This window comes from Homo sapiens, chromosome X (genome assembly GCF_000001405.40).
Source record: "Homo sapiens chromosome X, GRCh38.p14 Primary Assembly".
Taxonomy (NCBI): domain Eukaryota; kingdom Metazoa; phylum Chordata; class Mammalia; order Primates; family Hominidae; genus Homo; species Homo sapiens.
Genome location: NC_000023.11, coordinates 154308604 through 154325589, shown reverse-complemented (window position 1 = coordinate 154325589; position 16986 = coordinate 154308604). Strand labels below are relative to the sequence as shown.

At 48.5% G+C, this 16986-nt stretch overlaps 1 protein-coding gene across 3 annotated transcripts in view; it reads right to left on the bottom strand.

Annotated features, from left to right (window-relative positions):
- Nucleotides 1-16986, bottom strand: part of TKTL1 (transketolase like 1) — a 34556-nt gene that overhangs the window by 4761 nt on the left and 12809 nt on the right. For all 3 annotated transcript variants that reach the window (NM_012253.4, NM_001145933.2, NM_001145934.2), the window contains 8 exons: nt 16148-16245; nt 14563-14754; nt 14352-14479; nt 12817-13010; nt 10253-10417; nt 4677-4833; nt 2253-2383; nt 168-251 (listed from right to left, as the gene is read on the bottom strand). In NM_012253.4, the coding sequence (NP_036385.3) occupies nt 168-251; nt 2253-2383; nt 4677-4833; nt 10253-10417; nt 12817-13010; nt 14352-14479; nt 14563-14754; nt 16148-16245 (1149 nt within the window). The remainder of the gene's footprint in view (nt 1-167; nt 252-2252; nt 2384-4676; nt 4834-10252; nt 10418-12816; nt 13011-14351; nt 14480-14562; nt 14755-16147; nt 16246-16986) is intronic.

Here is a 16986-nt window from a genome sequence, read left to right as displayed (position 1 = left end):
AATGTTCCTTCCCAAGGAAAAGCAGGTAAAGGTCACAACTGTTTTTTAAAAAAATGAGAGCAAAGAAAGGATGATGTCTCAACTCTGAAGATAGCTGGTGATAGATTCAGAAGTGTTCTTTTTACAGGAGATGATACTGAATAACGCAGGAGCGCGTAAGCCCTTACCTTGGCCTGTCCGATCTCAAAGCGTTCTTGTGGGGTGTAAATAACCATAGTTTCTGGTCGGGTGGTCCGAATGAAGCACATCCCCTAGGGCATAAATGGAGCCATGGTTTAGAAAAGCAAACAATGAATTTCCAACAACAGACGTTGAAAGAAGTGAAGGAGGGGTGTGAAGAGGACAGCTCTTTCTACTAAAAACACAGGCTTTGGAGAAAGGGGTGAGCATCTACAACCAGTGGACGACAGGTCCCAGCAGGACCTTGGGGCTGCCCTGAAGGACAAGCTCCCCCATGCCATCACACCAATCCCCTTGGAAGATTCCCCAATACTCACTGACTTGTTCTGTGCAGACAGAACATTAACTCACGGCAGGAGCACTGACTCACATTGACTAGAAAGCCCGAATAGAATGTTAAAACATTAACTTTTGCCACAATAACTTGTAATGCTTCATCCTTAGAAAGACCATAAACATCTATCTGAATACAAGACGACTGGCCCCTTTCCCAATAAAATGTAAATACATTTTTATGACCAATTTGAGCACATAAACATTTACCAGTATAAATGAACACTTGTATGTCTAAAGTATTTGTTAATTTACATACATATTAATGGATGCATTATAAACGAATATAGCAAGAAACGTCGCTACTGTTCGTTCATACGCTATGATCCATCTTTATTCAGTGTCTTCACCGAGGCATAACTCAGCTGCAGTGAAATGCATACATCCTAAGTTCAGCCCTTCCTGAATGCTGCATCCGCCGTGGAGCCCTCATCCAAGCCCAGCAGCGCTTCCGCCAGCAGAGTTCCCTTGTGCCTCCTTCCAGTCAGTCTCCCCCCACTATGAAGCAACCTCTACTCTAATTTCTATCACCTAATCTTGTTTTGCGCCTCTCTTGACCTTTCTAGAAATGAAACCCTATAACGTGTGAAATCACAGAACAATCTCCAAGATAAACTAATTTTAAAAGTACACAATTGGCCAGGTGCGGTGGCTCATGCCTATAATCCCTGCACTTTGGGAGGCCAAGGTGGGTGGATCACTTGAGGCCAGGAGTTTTGCGACTAGCCTGGCCAACATGGCGAAACCCTGTCTCTCCCCAAAAATACAAAAATTAGCCGGCCGTGGTGGAGTGCACCTCTAGTCGCAGCTACTCAGGAGGCTGAGGCAGGAGAATCTGGGAGGCGGAGGCTGCAGTGAGCCGAGATTGTGCCACTGCACTCCAGCCTGGGCGACAGAGTGAGACTCTGTCTCCAAAGAAAAAAAACCCAAAAAACAAAACACAAAAACCACACAAAAAAGTACCTAATAATATGTAAAGCGGGAGCCCACTTATAAAAAAAAAAATCAAAGAAACGCCCATGAGTGCTTGGAAAGGGAACATACAGTCCCCATCCCGACTGTGCCAGGGGTTACCTGTGTGGCGCATGGGCGAGGTCCAGGGTGGCAAGGGAAACCTGCTGAACGTTAGTGGGAAAGGCTGGAAAGATCAAGACCACACTGCCTCGTCTCCCGTGCAGCTAGGTTCTGAACAGGAATTTGATTCTGTCCATCTGATGCCCTTGCATGAGGTCCCACACACTCTTGGCGCCCTAAGCTGTTCCAAAGGCAAGCCAGGGCCAGGGAACCCGGGTTCGTTTGTAGTGGTAGCCTACCACCCGCTCTCCAGCTTCCTGGATGTCAGGACACAGCAGGAGCTTCTTGGCCTCTGGCTGCAGCCACTGGAGACTAACACTATAGTCTGGGACTCTGCCTGAAGCTTGCTCCTGCGGCTTCTTAAGCACCCTTTGTTAAACACCTTCTCCTGTTTACAACACCCAGAATGGTCCCTGTTTCTTCTGCTAAACCCTGACTGAGACAGGCTGTCAGGTTTTGTTCAGTATCCTGTACTGTTGGACTCTTTTACAAGGCAAATGTGTTTGTGTGCATAATCTCCTGTTTTTTTTGTAAAGAATTCTATCACCAAATTTTCTATAATGAATATCACTTTTATGTTGAGAAAAAAAAGTCCAATCATCAGTATGAAACTAGCAGAGTCCAGAAGCATTTTCTGTCTGAAACTAGTGTCCCCTTAAAAATACCTTGGCATTGGCTGCCAGAGCAACAGCATGCTCCGTGGAGACGGCATCAGTTGGGTAGAAGATCGTGCACTTGGGAATGGTTCGGAACATGGCTATATCCTCCAGGGCCATCTGGGAAGCACCATCGTCACCTGAGAGAACCAGAGCCCGATGAAAACAGGAGCATAACCCCATTAGGAACCTGCCCTCCACCCACTTCTAGCTCTGAAGAAGCAATTATTCCTATTGCCACGGGGTGTCCCGAGCTGTAGCAGAGCCCCATAAATGGTCCCGCTGCATCCTCACAACTCATTTACATTGTGTTCTTGCACGCCTGTCTCCCTTGAGATCACACTGTGACACCTCGGGTTAGTCAACTGAAAAGTCTCAGCTGACTTTTCAGATGGATCACTCCAAGTTACTGTCCACGATGGCTGAGCATTGGTGGCCTGAGTTTGGCCTGCTAAGTCTCTGAACCCGTTCTCTTTAGGAAGGTCCTCAGGCTTTGTTCTCCCTTTTCTGCTCTATCTTTTCTATATCCAGAGACCGGGTTTTGCATACCAAAGTGGTCTTTTTCATTTCTCCAGGCCTTCCAAGTAGTTAACACACCTTCAAAGCATGCTGAGGGTGCTACAGGGTACTTTAGGGTGTATCTGGGAACGTAGTTTCTCACCAGAAATGTGAAAGAGAAATCTTAATGTGCACTGGGCAGCTTAGCTTTTCTCAGCTAGGAAGGGGATTGTCACCATGCACACTGCCTTGCCTAGGACCACTGTCTAACCTCAACAGCCCAGCTCTTTTTTTAAAAAAATTAACTATTATTATTTTGAGACAGAGTCTCGCTCTGTTGCCCAGGCTTGAGCGCACTAGGTCATCTTGGCTCACCGCAGCCTCTACCTCCCAGGTTCAAGCAATTCTCCTGCCTCAGCCTCCCAAGTAGCTGGGATTACAGTCATGTGCCAACATGTCTGGCTAAGTTTTGTATTTTTAGTAGAGATGGGGTTTCACCATATTGGTCAGGCTGGTCTCAAACTCCTGACCACAGATGATCCACCTGCCTCGGCCTCCCAAAATGCTGGGATTACAGGTGTGAGCCACCGCTCTGGCTTTTTTTTTTTTTTTTTTTTTTGACAAAGCCTCTCTCTGTCGCCAGGCTGGAGTGCAGTGGTGTGATCTTGGCTCACTGCAGCCTCTGCCTCCTGGGTTCAAGCAATTCTCCTGTCTCAGCGTCCTGAGTAGCTGGAATACAGGTGCGTGCCACCACACCTGGCTAATTTTTCTATTTTCAGTAGAGATGGGGTTTCACCAAGTGCTGGGATTACAGGCATGAGCCACTGCGCCCAGCCTTCCAGTTCTTCTTTGGATGGAACCTAGAGTCACTTTCTCCATGTGACTATTTCAAAACTGAAACTGAGCACAGCCACAGGTGGGCTCAAGGACCCTTTCCTAGGCCCCTCTGCCCCTGCAACACTGCCGCGCCTCCTCTCTCTGGCCACCACCTGTGCCTCCAGCTTCACCCAGACAGCCGTGACTCTAGCTCCATCTAGAGCCATCTCGTCCAGCCTCATTCTCCCAGGGAGTCCCTGAGATGGCTTTCCAGCGTGCATCTCTGGCATTCTAGAAGCAAGTGTGTGCAGCCACATCTAGTAAGCCCATCTGCCTGCCACAGGCACGCCAGCTGGCTCATCTTTCCCATGTCATTTCTGTCATTCACGAAAATGACTCTCTGACGTTTCCCAAGTGAGGAATCCCGGAGACTCGTGTGTTTTGCTCTTCACGCCATTGCAGAGTGCTCCATCTGTTAGGCACACTCACCTCTTTCTTCACTCTCAGGTCCCCCCCCACCCCCCTGGTTTTCTCCCCCACCACCTTGCACACCTTGTTTCAATCCCCTCTCTGGCTTCCCGTTTCCTGTGGTTTCCTTCTAGCCCACCTGCCAGGTGACTACTACTCTGAGAAGGGTGTGTTTGTAAGAGTTCCTGCCTCGTGTCACGCTCCAGGGTTCTCGCTGCCCCAGGCAGGAAGGTGGTGATGGTGGTCCCAGCCCCCCTCCCACCTGAGCAGGCTGTGCAGCCAGCCAGAATGCTCCTCGTCCTCTGTGATGCTGTTCACCCTCAGTTAGACTGCAACCACAGCGAGGGCAGAAAAGGCTCCATGACTCTGCCAGTCCTGTCCATAACCTGCACGCAGCTCAACACACAAGGGGCACTCGGGATAAGCAACTGTTTCTCACTGTCTGAAACAACAGTACCACCGAGAGATGCACTTCAAAAGTTGCCCTGAGAGTCTGACACTTTTAAAGTACAATATGGCTTTTTCAAGAAAAAGGCTTGAATAATCAAACTTCATGGAACCATAAGGAAATTCGTGGTTTAACCAATCACATGCTAATCTTTCTCTGTGAAGGAGGAAGGCTACCAAGATGATGGCATTTAGAACCCTTACCAACAGATACCCCACAGTGGGAACCAATAATGTTGATGTTGCTCTCAGCGAGGCCTCCTATCCGGATGTGATCAAATGCTCGAGTCAGAAAGGCAGCAAAGGTGCTAGCAAAAGCAATGGTCCGTCCACGGGAGGCACAGCCCAGAGCCACGCTCACCTGCAGCACAGAGAACATGAATCAGAACATCCCTGGGCATTGCCCCCACCGCCCCTTCTCCCACAGTCCCCATGATAACTCCCATTCTGCACCTGCTGAACTGCTCTGAAGTTCTAGCATGCGTCCTTCCCACACCCCTCTTTCCTCAAACCCTGGGCACCCGTCCGTCCCTCCTGCTCAGACGGCGCCCTCAACTCATAGCTCCTAGGGAGCAAGAGATGAGACTCTCTTGCCTGCCCTCCTGGTGTCCGCAGCTTTCCAGGGTCCATGCCCCGACAGGACATCCTGAATCTGTCCTGTTCCTGCTTTCTCACAGGGGTCTCCAGCCATGCAGCTCCTCCTCCCCTCTTGTGCTACTTCCCTTTCTCTTGGATCATTCTATTTCCATTCAGGTGTGCGCCAGCACCTTTTATCTTCACAGCCCCATCTCCGCCTTGTCCTGCTTTTACATCTGTGTTCTCCTTCGCAGCAAACTTCTCAAAACTTGCCTATAGTCATTGCCCCTGCTTTCTCATTTTCCACGCTCTTCCCAGCCTACTTCATCTAGGCCACCATCCCCACAAGGGACCTCGAAGCCACAAAACCAAGAGGCTGCCTGACCTTGGGTGGCCTGTGACTTGACTTGGCCCCTGATCTCAAGGCATTTCCTCCTCTCGGTTTCTGCAGTGTGGCAGTGGCCCACTGCTGTCGCCTCATGGGCGCTGCTGGGGCAAGTCCTCAGGGCCCTGTGCACCCTCGGGAAGTCGCATCTGGCCCAATGCTCCCCTGATGTGCATTCTGGTAATGATCCCCACTTTACATTGCCATTCCTTACCCCCCTTCCCCAGAAGTCCGGGCTCAAATACCCCAGAAGGCTTCAAACTAGAATACAAACCTCTCTGCGGATACACACAGGCTTTCCAAAGGGGATGTGGCTGTGGGTGTTACACTCAAGATCCCAAACTCCAGATCAACTCTGTCTACATTCATCTGCCAAAAGGAGGGTCTGTGCTCCCCTCATGGTCTTTTTTTTTTTTTTTAGACAGGGTCTTGCTCTGTTGCCCAGGCTGGGGTGCACTGGTGCAATCTTGGCTCACTGCAACCTCCACCTCCTGGGTTCAAGCGATTCTCCTGTCTCTGCCTCCCGAGTAGCTGGGATTACAGGCACCCGCCACCACGTCTGGCTAATTTTTGTATTTTTAGTAGGGACGAGGTTTCACCATATTGGTCAGGCTGGTCTCGAACTGACAGGTGATCCACCCACCTCGGCCGGCCTCCCAAAGTTCTGGGATTACGGGCGTGAGCCACTGCCCCTGGGTCTCCCACTGTCTCTTTTAACAATCACCTTCTAGCAACCTGATCCCCAAAGGGCATGCTCTCAGCCACCTGACTCTTACAGGGGGATCATCCTGGAGTGCAGAACCTCCAGACCCAAGTAAAGAGGACAATTTGAAATAACTATGCTGGTGGAGAGAAAGTGAAGAACTTAATTAATGAAACTGTCAACTCTGTAAATAACTTTTATAAACAACTTTACATGAAAGATCACTATGTGATTTTTTGACTTACAACTGGGAAGGAATTCAAAGAACTGAGTGACATTCCTCTAACAAAACTTCCCTTCCCATCTACTTATTCATGTAAGTAAGGTTTCATAGCACATCATGAAGATGAAAAACAGGAATAGAATCTGTTCTCAATGCTATCACATTCAAACTACAAGTATACTCATCCACTAACATACCAGCTAATAATAATCAAAATTCTATCTCAGTCCAGAAAAAAAAACCTAATGCTCAGAAGCCTATATTATAATTTTTTAAAAACCTATCAATTTATATGCATATTTTTGTTGCAGAGAAAAATGATAGGACAATCAATAAAAGGCTTTCATGCATAAAGATATATTGGGGAAATGAATGGAATGGAAATTGGAAATCAAGTAGAAAAAGGGTTTTAATTTCTGACAAAGAAAAGTGGCTTGGCATGAATTTTTTTTTTTTAATTACAGACCAGGTCTCACTATGTTGTTCAGGCTGGTCTTGAACTTTTTTTTTTTTTTTTTTTTTTGAGACGGAGGCTCGCTCTGTCGCCCAGGCTGGACTGCAGTGGCGCAATCTCAGCTCACTGCAAGCTCTGCCTCCCGGGTTCACGCCATTCTCCTGCCTCAGCCTCCCGAGTAGCTGGGACTACAGGCACCCACCACCACGCCCGGCTAATTTTTTTTTTTTTTTGTATTTTTAGTAGAGAAGGGGTTTCACCATGTTAGCCAGGATGGTCTCCATCTCCTGACCTCGTGATCCGTCCGCCTCGGCCTCCCAAAGTGCTGGGATTACAGGCGTGAGCCACCGCACCCGGCCTGGTCTCGAACTCTTGAACTCCAGCAATCCTCCAGCTTCAGCCTCCCAAAGTGCCGGGATTACAGGTGTGAGCCACTATGCCCAGCCAGTGTCATCATTAATGGCATGATTTGAGTATTAAAGTATCAAAAATGTCAATATATGAACAACTACATCCTTTGCAACGACTTAAATTTATGATTAAAAATGTAGATGTGGCCAAGCATGGCGGCTCCCAGCTCCTCAAGAGGCCGAGGCCAGAGGACCCCTTGAGCCCAGGAGTTTGAGGCTGCAGGGAGCCATGATTGTGCCACTGCATTCCAGCCTGGGTGACAGAGCAAGACTCCATCTCTACAAAAAATAAAAATAAAAAAAAGATGTTAGCTTAAAACTAGGCCAACGAATATGTAGTTTAGAAAACTGCATTTAGTGGTGTGGAGCGGCCACATGTGAAAATGACTGACTGATCTACTGCCCAGCCATCTGATACCACTGTCTCCCCTCTGTACATCTAACAGGTGCCCCAACCCCCCAGGCCCACACAGAGCTCCTGATGGTGCCCTCCAGTCCACTTCTCCCCCAGTCTTGTCAATCTCAAGAGGTGACACCACCTTCCCCCAGGTGCTGCCACCCACACTCAAGCACCAGCCTTGGGTCCTGTCCTGACACCTGCCGTTGGCATCCTGCTGGCTCTCCTGCCAAGGCAATATGTGACAAGTCTGCTTCCCTCCGACTCCACAGCTACTGCCCTGGTCCAAGTCACCCTCTCCTTCTCCTCCCTTTCCTACGTGAAGCCATTCTCCAGTCTTCAGAGTTTTGGAAAACGCAGGCTGTTGCTTTCCTGCTTAAAGCCCTCCAGTGGCTTCCCAGCAAACTGCAAGAGAACCAGAGATACTGAAAAGGGCGCCTATAAGACCCCGTATGACCTGGGCCCTGGAGAGTTTTCTGCGTTCACCATGCTCCTACCACTTGGCCCTTCCTCTGCTCTCCAAACATTCCAAGCCTGGGCCTGCCTACAGTTGGCCATGCCCCTTGCTTGAAATGCTGTCTCCCACATCTGCACACGGCTGACCCCTCGTCACCTGAGACTCAGCTTAAGTATCACCTTTTCTGAGAGGTTGTCCCTGACTGCCCCTGGTCAAGCTCTACATTGTAGCCACCTCTTTCAACATGGCACTAAATACCACCTGCTCGCCTTTTCTTTACAACTTTTTTCCAACTGTGAGAACATATCAGCAGGGACGGAGTAGACTACATGGCTGCGTGCTGAGGCAATCAGTGAGGTGGGGAGCAAAATTTTTGACAGGAGCATTAATCCAGAAAATTACGGATCGCATTGTTTTCTATTCAAAATGAAAACAGCTTAATGAGCCAGGCTCGGGGGCTCACACCTGTAATCCCAGCACTTTGGGAGGCTGAGGCAGGCAGATCACCTGAGGTCAGGAGTTGGAGACCAGCCTGACCAACATGGTGAAACCCTGTCTCCACTAAAAACACAAAAATTAGCCAGGCATGGTGGCGCATGTCTGTAATCCCAGCTACCTGCGAGGCTGAGGCAAGGGAATCGCTTGAACCTGGGAGGCAGAGGTTGCAGTGAGCTGTGATCGTGCCACTGCACTCCAGCCTCGGTGAGAGAGAGAGAGAGACTCCATCTCAAAAAAAAAAAACCCCCAAAAAAAAACCAAAAACCACAAAACAACAAAAAACCCAAATGGCCCAGCAGAGCATGGGGAGCTGTGGGGACACCCATCTCAACAGGGGTGCTGTTTGGCTTCAGTCAACTGGCGTCAGGAGGGAATGCCACCCTATGGTAGTAGTTCTTCCCATTTTTCAAAAGAATCCAGAAATATGTATTCTATATAAGACCTCCTGATTCTTTTTCTTTTTTGAGATGGGGTCTCGCTGTTTCACAGGCTGGAATGCAGTGGTACATTGCAGCGTTTAAGTCCTGGGATCAAGCATCCTCCTGCCTTAGAGTCCCGAGTAGCTGGGACTGCAGGCTGGTGCCACTACACCTATAATCTGATTTTTAAATGCTGGCAACTAATTTTTAAAAAATTTAAAATACTGGCTGGGCGCGGTGGCTCATGTCTGTAATCCCAGCACTTTGGGAGGCCGAGGCGGACGGATCACGAGGTCAGGAGATTGAGACCACTCTGGCTAACACAGTGAAACCCCGTCTCTACTAAAAAATACAAAAAATTAGCCGGGTGTGGTGGTGGGCACCTGTAGTCCTAGCTACTTGGGAGGCTGAGGCAGGAGAATGTCGTGAACCCAGGAGGCGGAGCTTGCAGTGAGCTGAGCACTCCACTCCAGCCTGGGCGACAGAGCGAGACTTCGTCTAAAAAAATTTTTTTTAAAAATACTACTTGTTATAAATAAAGTCACTGGTGGTCACATAAGACCTGCTGGCCTGTGGTTTTCTGGCCTAATGACAGGAGCTGGGCATCATCTTCTATGACGCGCAGAGCTTTAGAGTTCAAAGGGTTTACTGGCCATAACTCCTTCCTCTCCAGAGGGGTGCGCTTGTGTGCATGTGCTTGAGATACTCCCTGCATTAATATCACTCTGGGGAGAGACTGAGGCATAGATAAGCAGAATGGCTTTGCCTAAGGCACCAGCTCTAAGCATTGATATTCTTGTGATTGAAGTAAGTGCAACATTTGCATTTCTGTGCTATATTAGGCCCCTCTACAGTGGAGAGAAGGAAACTCTGCATTCCCTGTGACTCCTCAGCCAGTGTGCCTCTGGGTGGTTGCAGAATTGGGCAGAAGGAGCTACTAGGGAGCCTGGGATGCTTCAGGCCCAGAGCCCTGGGTTCAGATGGTTCGAGGCTCAGAGGACCCACTGTCTGTGGCCTTGGGCCTGCTGCCCTCAGCCAACTTGGAGACTCCAAGTGCCGAGTAGTCTATTACGGCCCTCCTAGCAGACCTAGAAGCCACCTCTCAGACTCCACCTGGCTACTTGCCTCCTGCTTCCCAGGAAATTTTTTTCCAGTCCTTTTGCTTTCATAAATGGAAAGAAAAACTAGCACAGGCTGGGCCTCCTGTGTCCAGTGGGCCATTGATTCTAAGAAGCCCTGAGAGACACTACACACTCACCATGTTTTGTTCAGCCATAAAGCACTCGATGAAGCGCTCAGGGTACTCCTTGTTGAATATCTCAGAGAAAGTAGAGTACCTGGTGTCACCATCCAGCACAACGACTCTGTTGTTCGCGTAGCCCAGCTTAGCCAGAGCCAGACCGCATGCTTTCCGAGTAGCTATCTAGAAGACAGAGACAATCAGGTGGTAGAGTTTCTTCAAATGCATTTAGAAGGAACGACTACAGAAGGAAGGTACCATATTGTAGAATGACAAATTATCATCTATCTTGAAGAAAGTAAATTCGTGACTCACCAAAAATTTCCTTTAATGTCATAAACATGGACTGCTAGCCAATCTTAAATCCATACTAAATGGCTGATGTGGCACCCAAGTTTTTCTCAAATTGTGCTCTTTTTAGTTAACATCCCCCGCTCCCCCAACCCCCACTTCCTAAGCAGGTAAACACTCCACAGCTCAAGAGTGAGATTTCCGACATTAATGGTTCTCATTATATTTTTCAAATTACTTGGCCAGGTGTGCTGGCTCACATCTGTAATCCCAGCATTTTGGGAGGCTGAGGCAGGTGGACCACCTGAGGTCAGGAGTTCGAGACCAGCCTGGCTAACAAGGTGAAACCCCGTCTCTACTAAAAATACAAAAATTAGCTGGGCATGATGGCGGGAGCCTGTAATCCTAGCTACTTGGGAGGCTGAGGCAGGAGAATCGCTTGAATCCGGGGGCAGAGGTTGCAGTGAGCCGAGATTGCACCACTGCACTCCAGCCTGGGTGACTGAGCGAGACTCCATCTCAAAAAAAAAATGTTGAGTTTTATGAATTGCTTTTGTTTAGTGTGTATGATGATGATCACACTTCCCTCCTTCCTTTAACCTAACACTAGAACACTGAATTCTATTCCTACATCTCCTGGCATGAGTCATCTGCATTACTAATTTGAGCTCACTGATTCATTTAATTTTTTTAATGTACTAATGAAGTTGAGATGGGCTAATGTTCTATTTAGAATTTTTATATTGGTATTCATAAAGAAAGTTGCTCTGCAGTTTTCTTTAGGCTAGCTTTGTCACATTTTCGCTTCATAAGTAAATCGGGATGACATTTTCATCTTCCTCCGTATTTGGAAAAATTTGAAACAGTTTAGAAATTACTCTTTTCATAAAGGTTAAAAATGAGTCAGTCTTATATAACCTGGTGAGCCTGGTGCTTTGGGGGTATAGCACTTGGATAATTTTCTCCATTTTTTTCTAGGGCTATTGATCCATTTAAGGTTTTTATACCTCTTTTAGTCAATTTTGATATTTTATGTATTCCTAAAAATGGTCCCCCCGCTTTTTACACATTTTCATACCAATTATGCAACTATGGAGTTATATAGTTTTCTCAAACTTTTTTTTTTTTTTTGAGACAGAGTCTCGCTCCGTTGCCCAGGCTGGAGTGCAGTGGCCCAATCATAGCTCACTATCCCCTCAAACTCCTGGACTCAGGTGATTCTCCTGCCTCAGCCTCCAGAGTACCTGGAACCATATTATGGCACCATGCCTGGATAATTTTTAAATTCTATGTAGAGATGGGGTCTCACTACTTTGCCCAGGCTAGTGTTGAACTCCTGGGCTCAAGTGGTCTTCCTGTCTTGGCCTCCTGATAGTGCTGGGATTACAGGAGTGAGCCACTGTGCCTGGCCCACCCTTTGTTGATATACCGTCTCCTTTCTTCTGGTTTTTGTCTTTTGATTTCTCAAGTATTCAAAATTCATTTATTTTTAACCCTCATTACCAGGCTAAGAAAACATGAGCAACACTCAAAATTTCTCCAAATAAAGAAGGATCAGAAAGTGTGTCCTTCCTCCCTAGGCTCGCCGCCTTACTTCCTCTAGGCCATAAAGAACTTGCCTATGTCAGGTCTGCTATGATATACCAGAAGGCAGGATGTAAAGGTGCTAAAAACCAAAAGGACTTGATACTCAAGAGTTTTGTGCATCATTTGATTCCTTTTTGAGGTTTCTGATGAATTGGCCTGCTCCTCTGTGTAATTCAGAGAGTAAGTTCAAAAGGTCAGCCCGCCTGGGGCCAGTCTTCTTAGCGGAGACACAGAGTCGTGGCAGTTTCATGCACAAACCAAAGTTAGGAAGCTAGAAAAAGGCACACCACACCAGGAGCTAATAAATAGCAATTGACCAATCAGAAAATTCAGACACACATGTGAAAGCCAAAAATAAAAATCAGACCTAATAAAAGAGAAGGGGAGCCAGGAGTGGTGAAAGATCAAGTACCTACTGGGTGCAATGTCCACTACTCCGATGCTGGGTGCACTGAAAGCCCAGACCTCACCACTACACAGTATCTATCCACGTGACACAGCTGCACTTTGGACCCCTAAATGTATTTTTTAAAAATGGCAAACCTCTCTTTATTGCCTACGAACTGTTAGTTACATGTCACTCTAGTAATTGGTTCGTCCATGGAGACCAGAATAAATGAAGAATCCTGTGTACATACGAACAACATTAGAGAACAAAGCAGTTGACGTATCTGATTTATTCAATTATCCACCTTTCTGCCTACCTTGTCACCAACTCTGTAATCAGGTGGAGAGGTCATCCTTACATCTGTGATGTTGACTTCAGGTGAGTCCTCAATGGGGGGCTGTGGGTCAAGATTCCTGCTGGTCTGTATCTGGCTCTCAATTAATTTGATAATGGCATCTGCTCTTTCTCTCGGCATTGGCTTTGCATGCCAACTTTCTGCATCCTCAATACCTGTAATGAAACAAACAAAAGACATCCATTCCATAAATATTTAGTGAGTGCCTATGAGGTCACCTGAAAAACAGACCCCGATGAAAAAGATGTCACCCTAGGACTCACAGGAGGAACACCTGGCACAGAGGGCCTGGGACGCTGCTGCAGCCAGAGAGAACAGCTTGGACAAAGGCCCTGAGGCTTTTTGTTTTGAGACAGGGGTCTCACGCTATGACTCCTCCCCAAGCTGGAGTGCAGTGGGTGATCATAACTCACCACAGCTTCCAACTCCTCGGGCTCGAGTGATCCTCCCGCCTCCGCCTCCTAAGTAGCTGGGATTACAGGTGCAAGCCATTGCACCTAGCTATGCCCCTGAGGGCCACTGGTGAGTGGAAGGGAGAATGAGAATAAGGCTGGAGAGACAGGTAGGGCAGACCATGGAGGGTGGGTCTTGTGGGTATGAGAAGTTTGAGTTTTATCCAAAGCAAGATTGGAAACCATTGAAGGGTTTGGAGTGGGGAAAGTGACTGATCAGATCCACTGTAGAAAGATCACTGTGGCAGCAGTGTAGAGACTGGTGTGGAGGGAGGCCAGCTGGAACTTTGGGAGAGATGATGGGTGTGGCAACAGTCATGGTAGTAGAGATGGGGAGGAGTGAATGGGTCCAAGATGTAATCTAGGGGACTGGGTCTATGTGTGGGCATATGAGGGGGAGGCAGAGGCAAGGACAACACCCAGGGTCCTGCCAGGAGCACACTGGTAAAATAATTTACTGAACGGAGGGTACCAGAGTAAAACTATATTTTCGGTAGGAGTCACAGAACAGTTTTATTCTAAAATGTCTATAGTCTTTTAAAAAAATCCAGGAGCCGCACTCTTTGTGATGAGTTAAACCTGAGATAAACAATTTCAGCTGTCAGCCTTGAAATGTGATAGTTGGTGATTCCAAGCTCCCGTCTTCCCCAATTCCCAGGGTTCTTCCAGAAGAGTGTGGGCCTAGGCACGTGTGTAGGTATGCACTCTTATTTCTTGCACCTGCTCATACACACAGCACGCTTTCTGATTCTACTAACCGTAGAGATTGTTCCCTGTCAGTCCTCCGATGGGCTGTACTCCTAGCCACTCCCTTGTGCAGGCAGCACATCACTGTTCACCTGCTAGGGCTTTTGATATCTCCTATCCTAAGCAGACACTAGCTAGTGAAAATAAGAGAGCAGGAGCCTCCAACATATACTCCAGGCAGAACTGCTATTCACTAAATGAGTCATCTGCCTAGGCCCCTCTAAGCCTCTCCCGCCTCTGCTGCTGAGCGGACAGATGCTTTTAACAACCAGGAGCAGGAGGAAAGTGCTTGCTTACTTGGGGTGCCCCGGCCCTTGAAGGTCTTGGCCACCACAGCAGTGGGCTTGTGCTTCACCTGAGAAGCCTGCCAGAATACCTGGCACAGTGCCTCCACGTCCCGGCCGTCCACCACATAAGTGTTCCACCTGCCAACAGAGGAGCAGGCTGGGTTACAAGAGATGAAGGGGGCAGGACAGAATGGAAATCAAGCACAAGAGAATACAGTTACCCAAAGGCTTCGCAGCGCCTCTGATAGATGTTTATGCAGTGCTCGGCGGGCAATGCACCACTGTGTCCCAGGCGGTTCACATCAAAGATTGCCACAAGATTGTCCAGACTGTAGTAGGAAGCAAAGGCCATTGCCTCCCAGACAGAGCCTTCTGAGGACTCGCCATCACTCATGAGGCAGAACACCCGGTAGCTGGAGCAAGACAAGAGAGGTTTAGGACCCTGTGGGGGATCATCTGGGCCAACCAAACAAATGCATTTCAGGAGGAGAAACGGACGCAACTGGAGCTGCTGCTCCAGACCATTCGCTTCCCACAATCTCCCTCATCAACTCTGCCCCAGCCCAGCAGCTAAGAAAGCCGAGCTTGAAAAGCCTGGGGGCTCACAAGCAGGCTTTACCTCTGGCTAGTTTTCTGTTCTAGCTGTAAAGCAACTTTTAGGTTCTTCTGCCACATTTCCTTATCAATAAGCAAACAGGGCCAGAGGGGAAGGGGAAGAAAGCAGCATCCTTAAGTTCCCCAAACATTTACACATTCATTTTTCTGGTAAGTTCCCTTTTAAAGCATTGCCACCTTCTAATTTTTTTGTTTGTTTGTTTGAGGCAGAGTTTCCATCACCCAGGCTGGAGTGCAGTGGCGTGATCTTGGCTCACTGCAACCTCCACCTCCCGGGTTCAAGCAATTCTCCTGCCTACAGGCCCACGCCACCATGCCCAGCTAGTTTTTGTATTTTTTAGTAGAGAGGCGGTTTCGCCATGTTGGCCAGGCTGGTCTCGAACTCCTGACCTCAGGCGATCCGCCCACCTCGGCCTCCCAAAGTGCTGGGATTACAGGCGTGAGCCACCGCCTCCCGCCGCCACCTGCTAGTTCTGTTCTTACAACTTATTTACAATAATCACAACAATCAAAACACCCCACCTTGGAAACGTGTTCTGCTGTGAAGTAAATTCCTCCACAACCAACGACGTGAGTGTTCGCATCAAGAAAACACATCTGGCCAGGCACAGTGGCTCACATCTGTAATCCCAGCACTTTGGGAGGCCAAGGCAGGTGGATCACCTGAGGTCAGGAGTTTGAAACCAGCCTGGCCAACATGGCGAAACCCCATCTCTACCAAAAATACAAAAATTAGCTGGGCATGGTGGTGCATGCCTGTAATCCCAGCTACTCAGGAGGCTGAGGCAGGAGAATCACTTGAAACTGGGAGGCAGAGGTTGCAGTGAGCCGAGATCATGCCACTGCACTCCAGCCTGGCCACAGAGTGAGACTCAGTCTCAAAAACAAACCACACATCCCAGACCCCACTAAAGTGCTGGAAGTTTTAAAAAAGCTATCAACCCTAGGATAAGAATGGAAAGGCAACAGCAGCTGAAACCTTTCAACAGACCTGTGGGAGAGAAAGTGGGGCAGCCGCCCGAGGTGGGGAAAAGGCACAGGGAAGGCCTTCCAGAGGGGTCACCACGGGATGTGATGGGGACTGGCCCTTCAGGGCTCTCCACATCACGGAGATAGGTGGCTGCCCCCCGAGACTCTAGGAAGGGGATGTAGATGTAGGGCAGTTAAATGGCTTCTGGGGAAGAACCTCACCTGGCCCTGTCGAAGTACTTGCCAGTATATGCCATTCCACATGCAACTCCCAGTCCTTGTCCGAGCCATCCTGTTGCCACATCCACAAACGACAGTCTCTGTAAGAGAAGGGACCCAGTGAGCCCAGACGCAGCTGCAGGACATGGTATCAGGTGGACTCACGCACTGAGTGCAGGCTGCTCCTGTCAGCTCTGTAGCAGCGTCCCATCCGAACAGCCCCTCCCGCCCTGCTGGGTGAATTCCTCTTCCCCACACCCATATGCACCCCAAGCTTCCGATCAACGTTACAAGTGGAAAATGGGTCAAGCCCAGGGCTCAGCCTGGGCTGGAAACTCAGGTGACTAAGGTGACGAAGACATCCACTGTCCCTGCCCAGGGAGTCATAGGTAATCCATACAGTATGGCAAGGGTGGCTGGAGCTTTGGGAATAGAGACGGGGAGCCCAAGTACAAAGCAGAAAACGTAAAGTATGATTCTTGACATTTTCCCATGGCCCTTCCCGGTCATGCACAAATCACATGTTCAATCCTATGGAGGATATGGATTCTTAAAACAGAAACCAGAAAGAGAATACTCTGGTTCCCTGGTTTATAAAACTCAGGTCAACTGAGATCTTACACGTGCTCATCTAGAAGTGCCCACGCTAGAAATGAATCCCTTTCTACTAGCATCTACCCCACCCCCAACATCCTGTTTGCAGGCACAGGGTCATCACTATCCCAAGCAGAAAATGTGGCCCTCTGTGGGCCACAAGGTCATGCCAAAGAGCTGCTGCACTGACTGGAGAGGCCCAACTTGCAAGCATACTGAATTTACCCAACAGCTTCTGCAGCCACCAT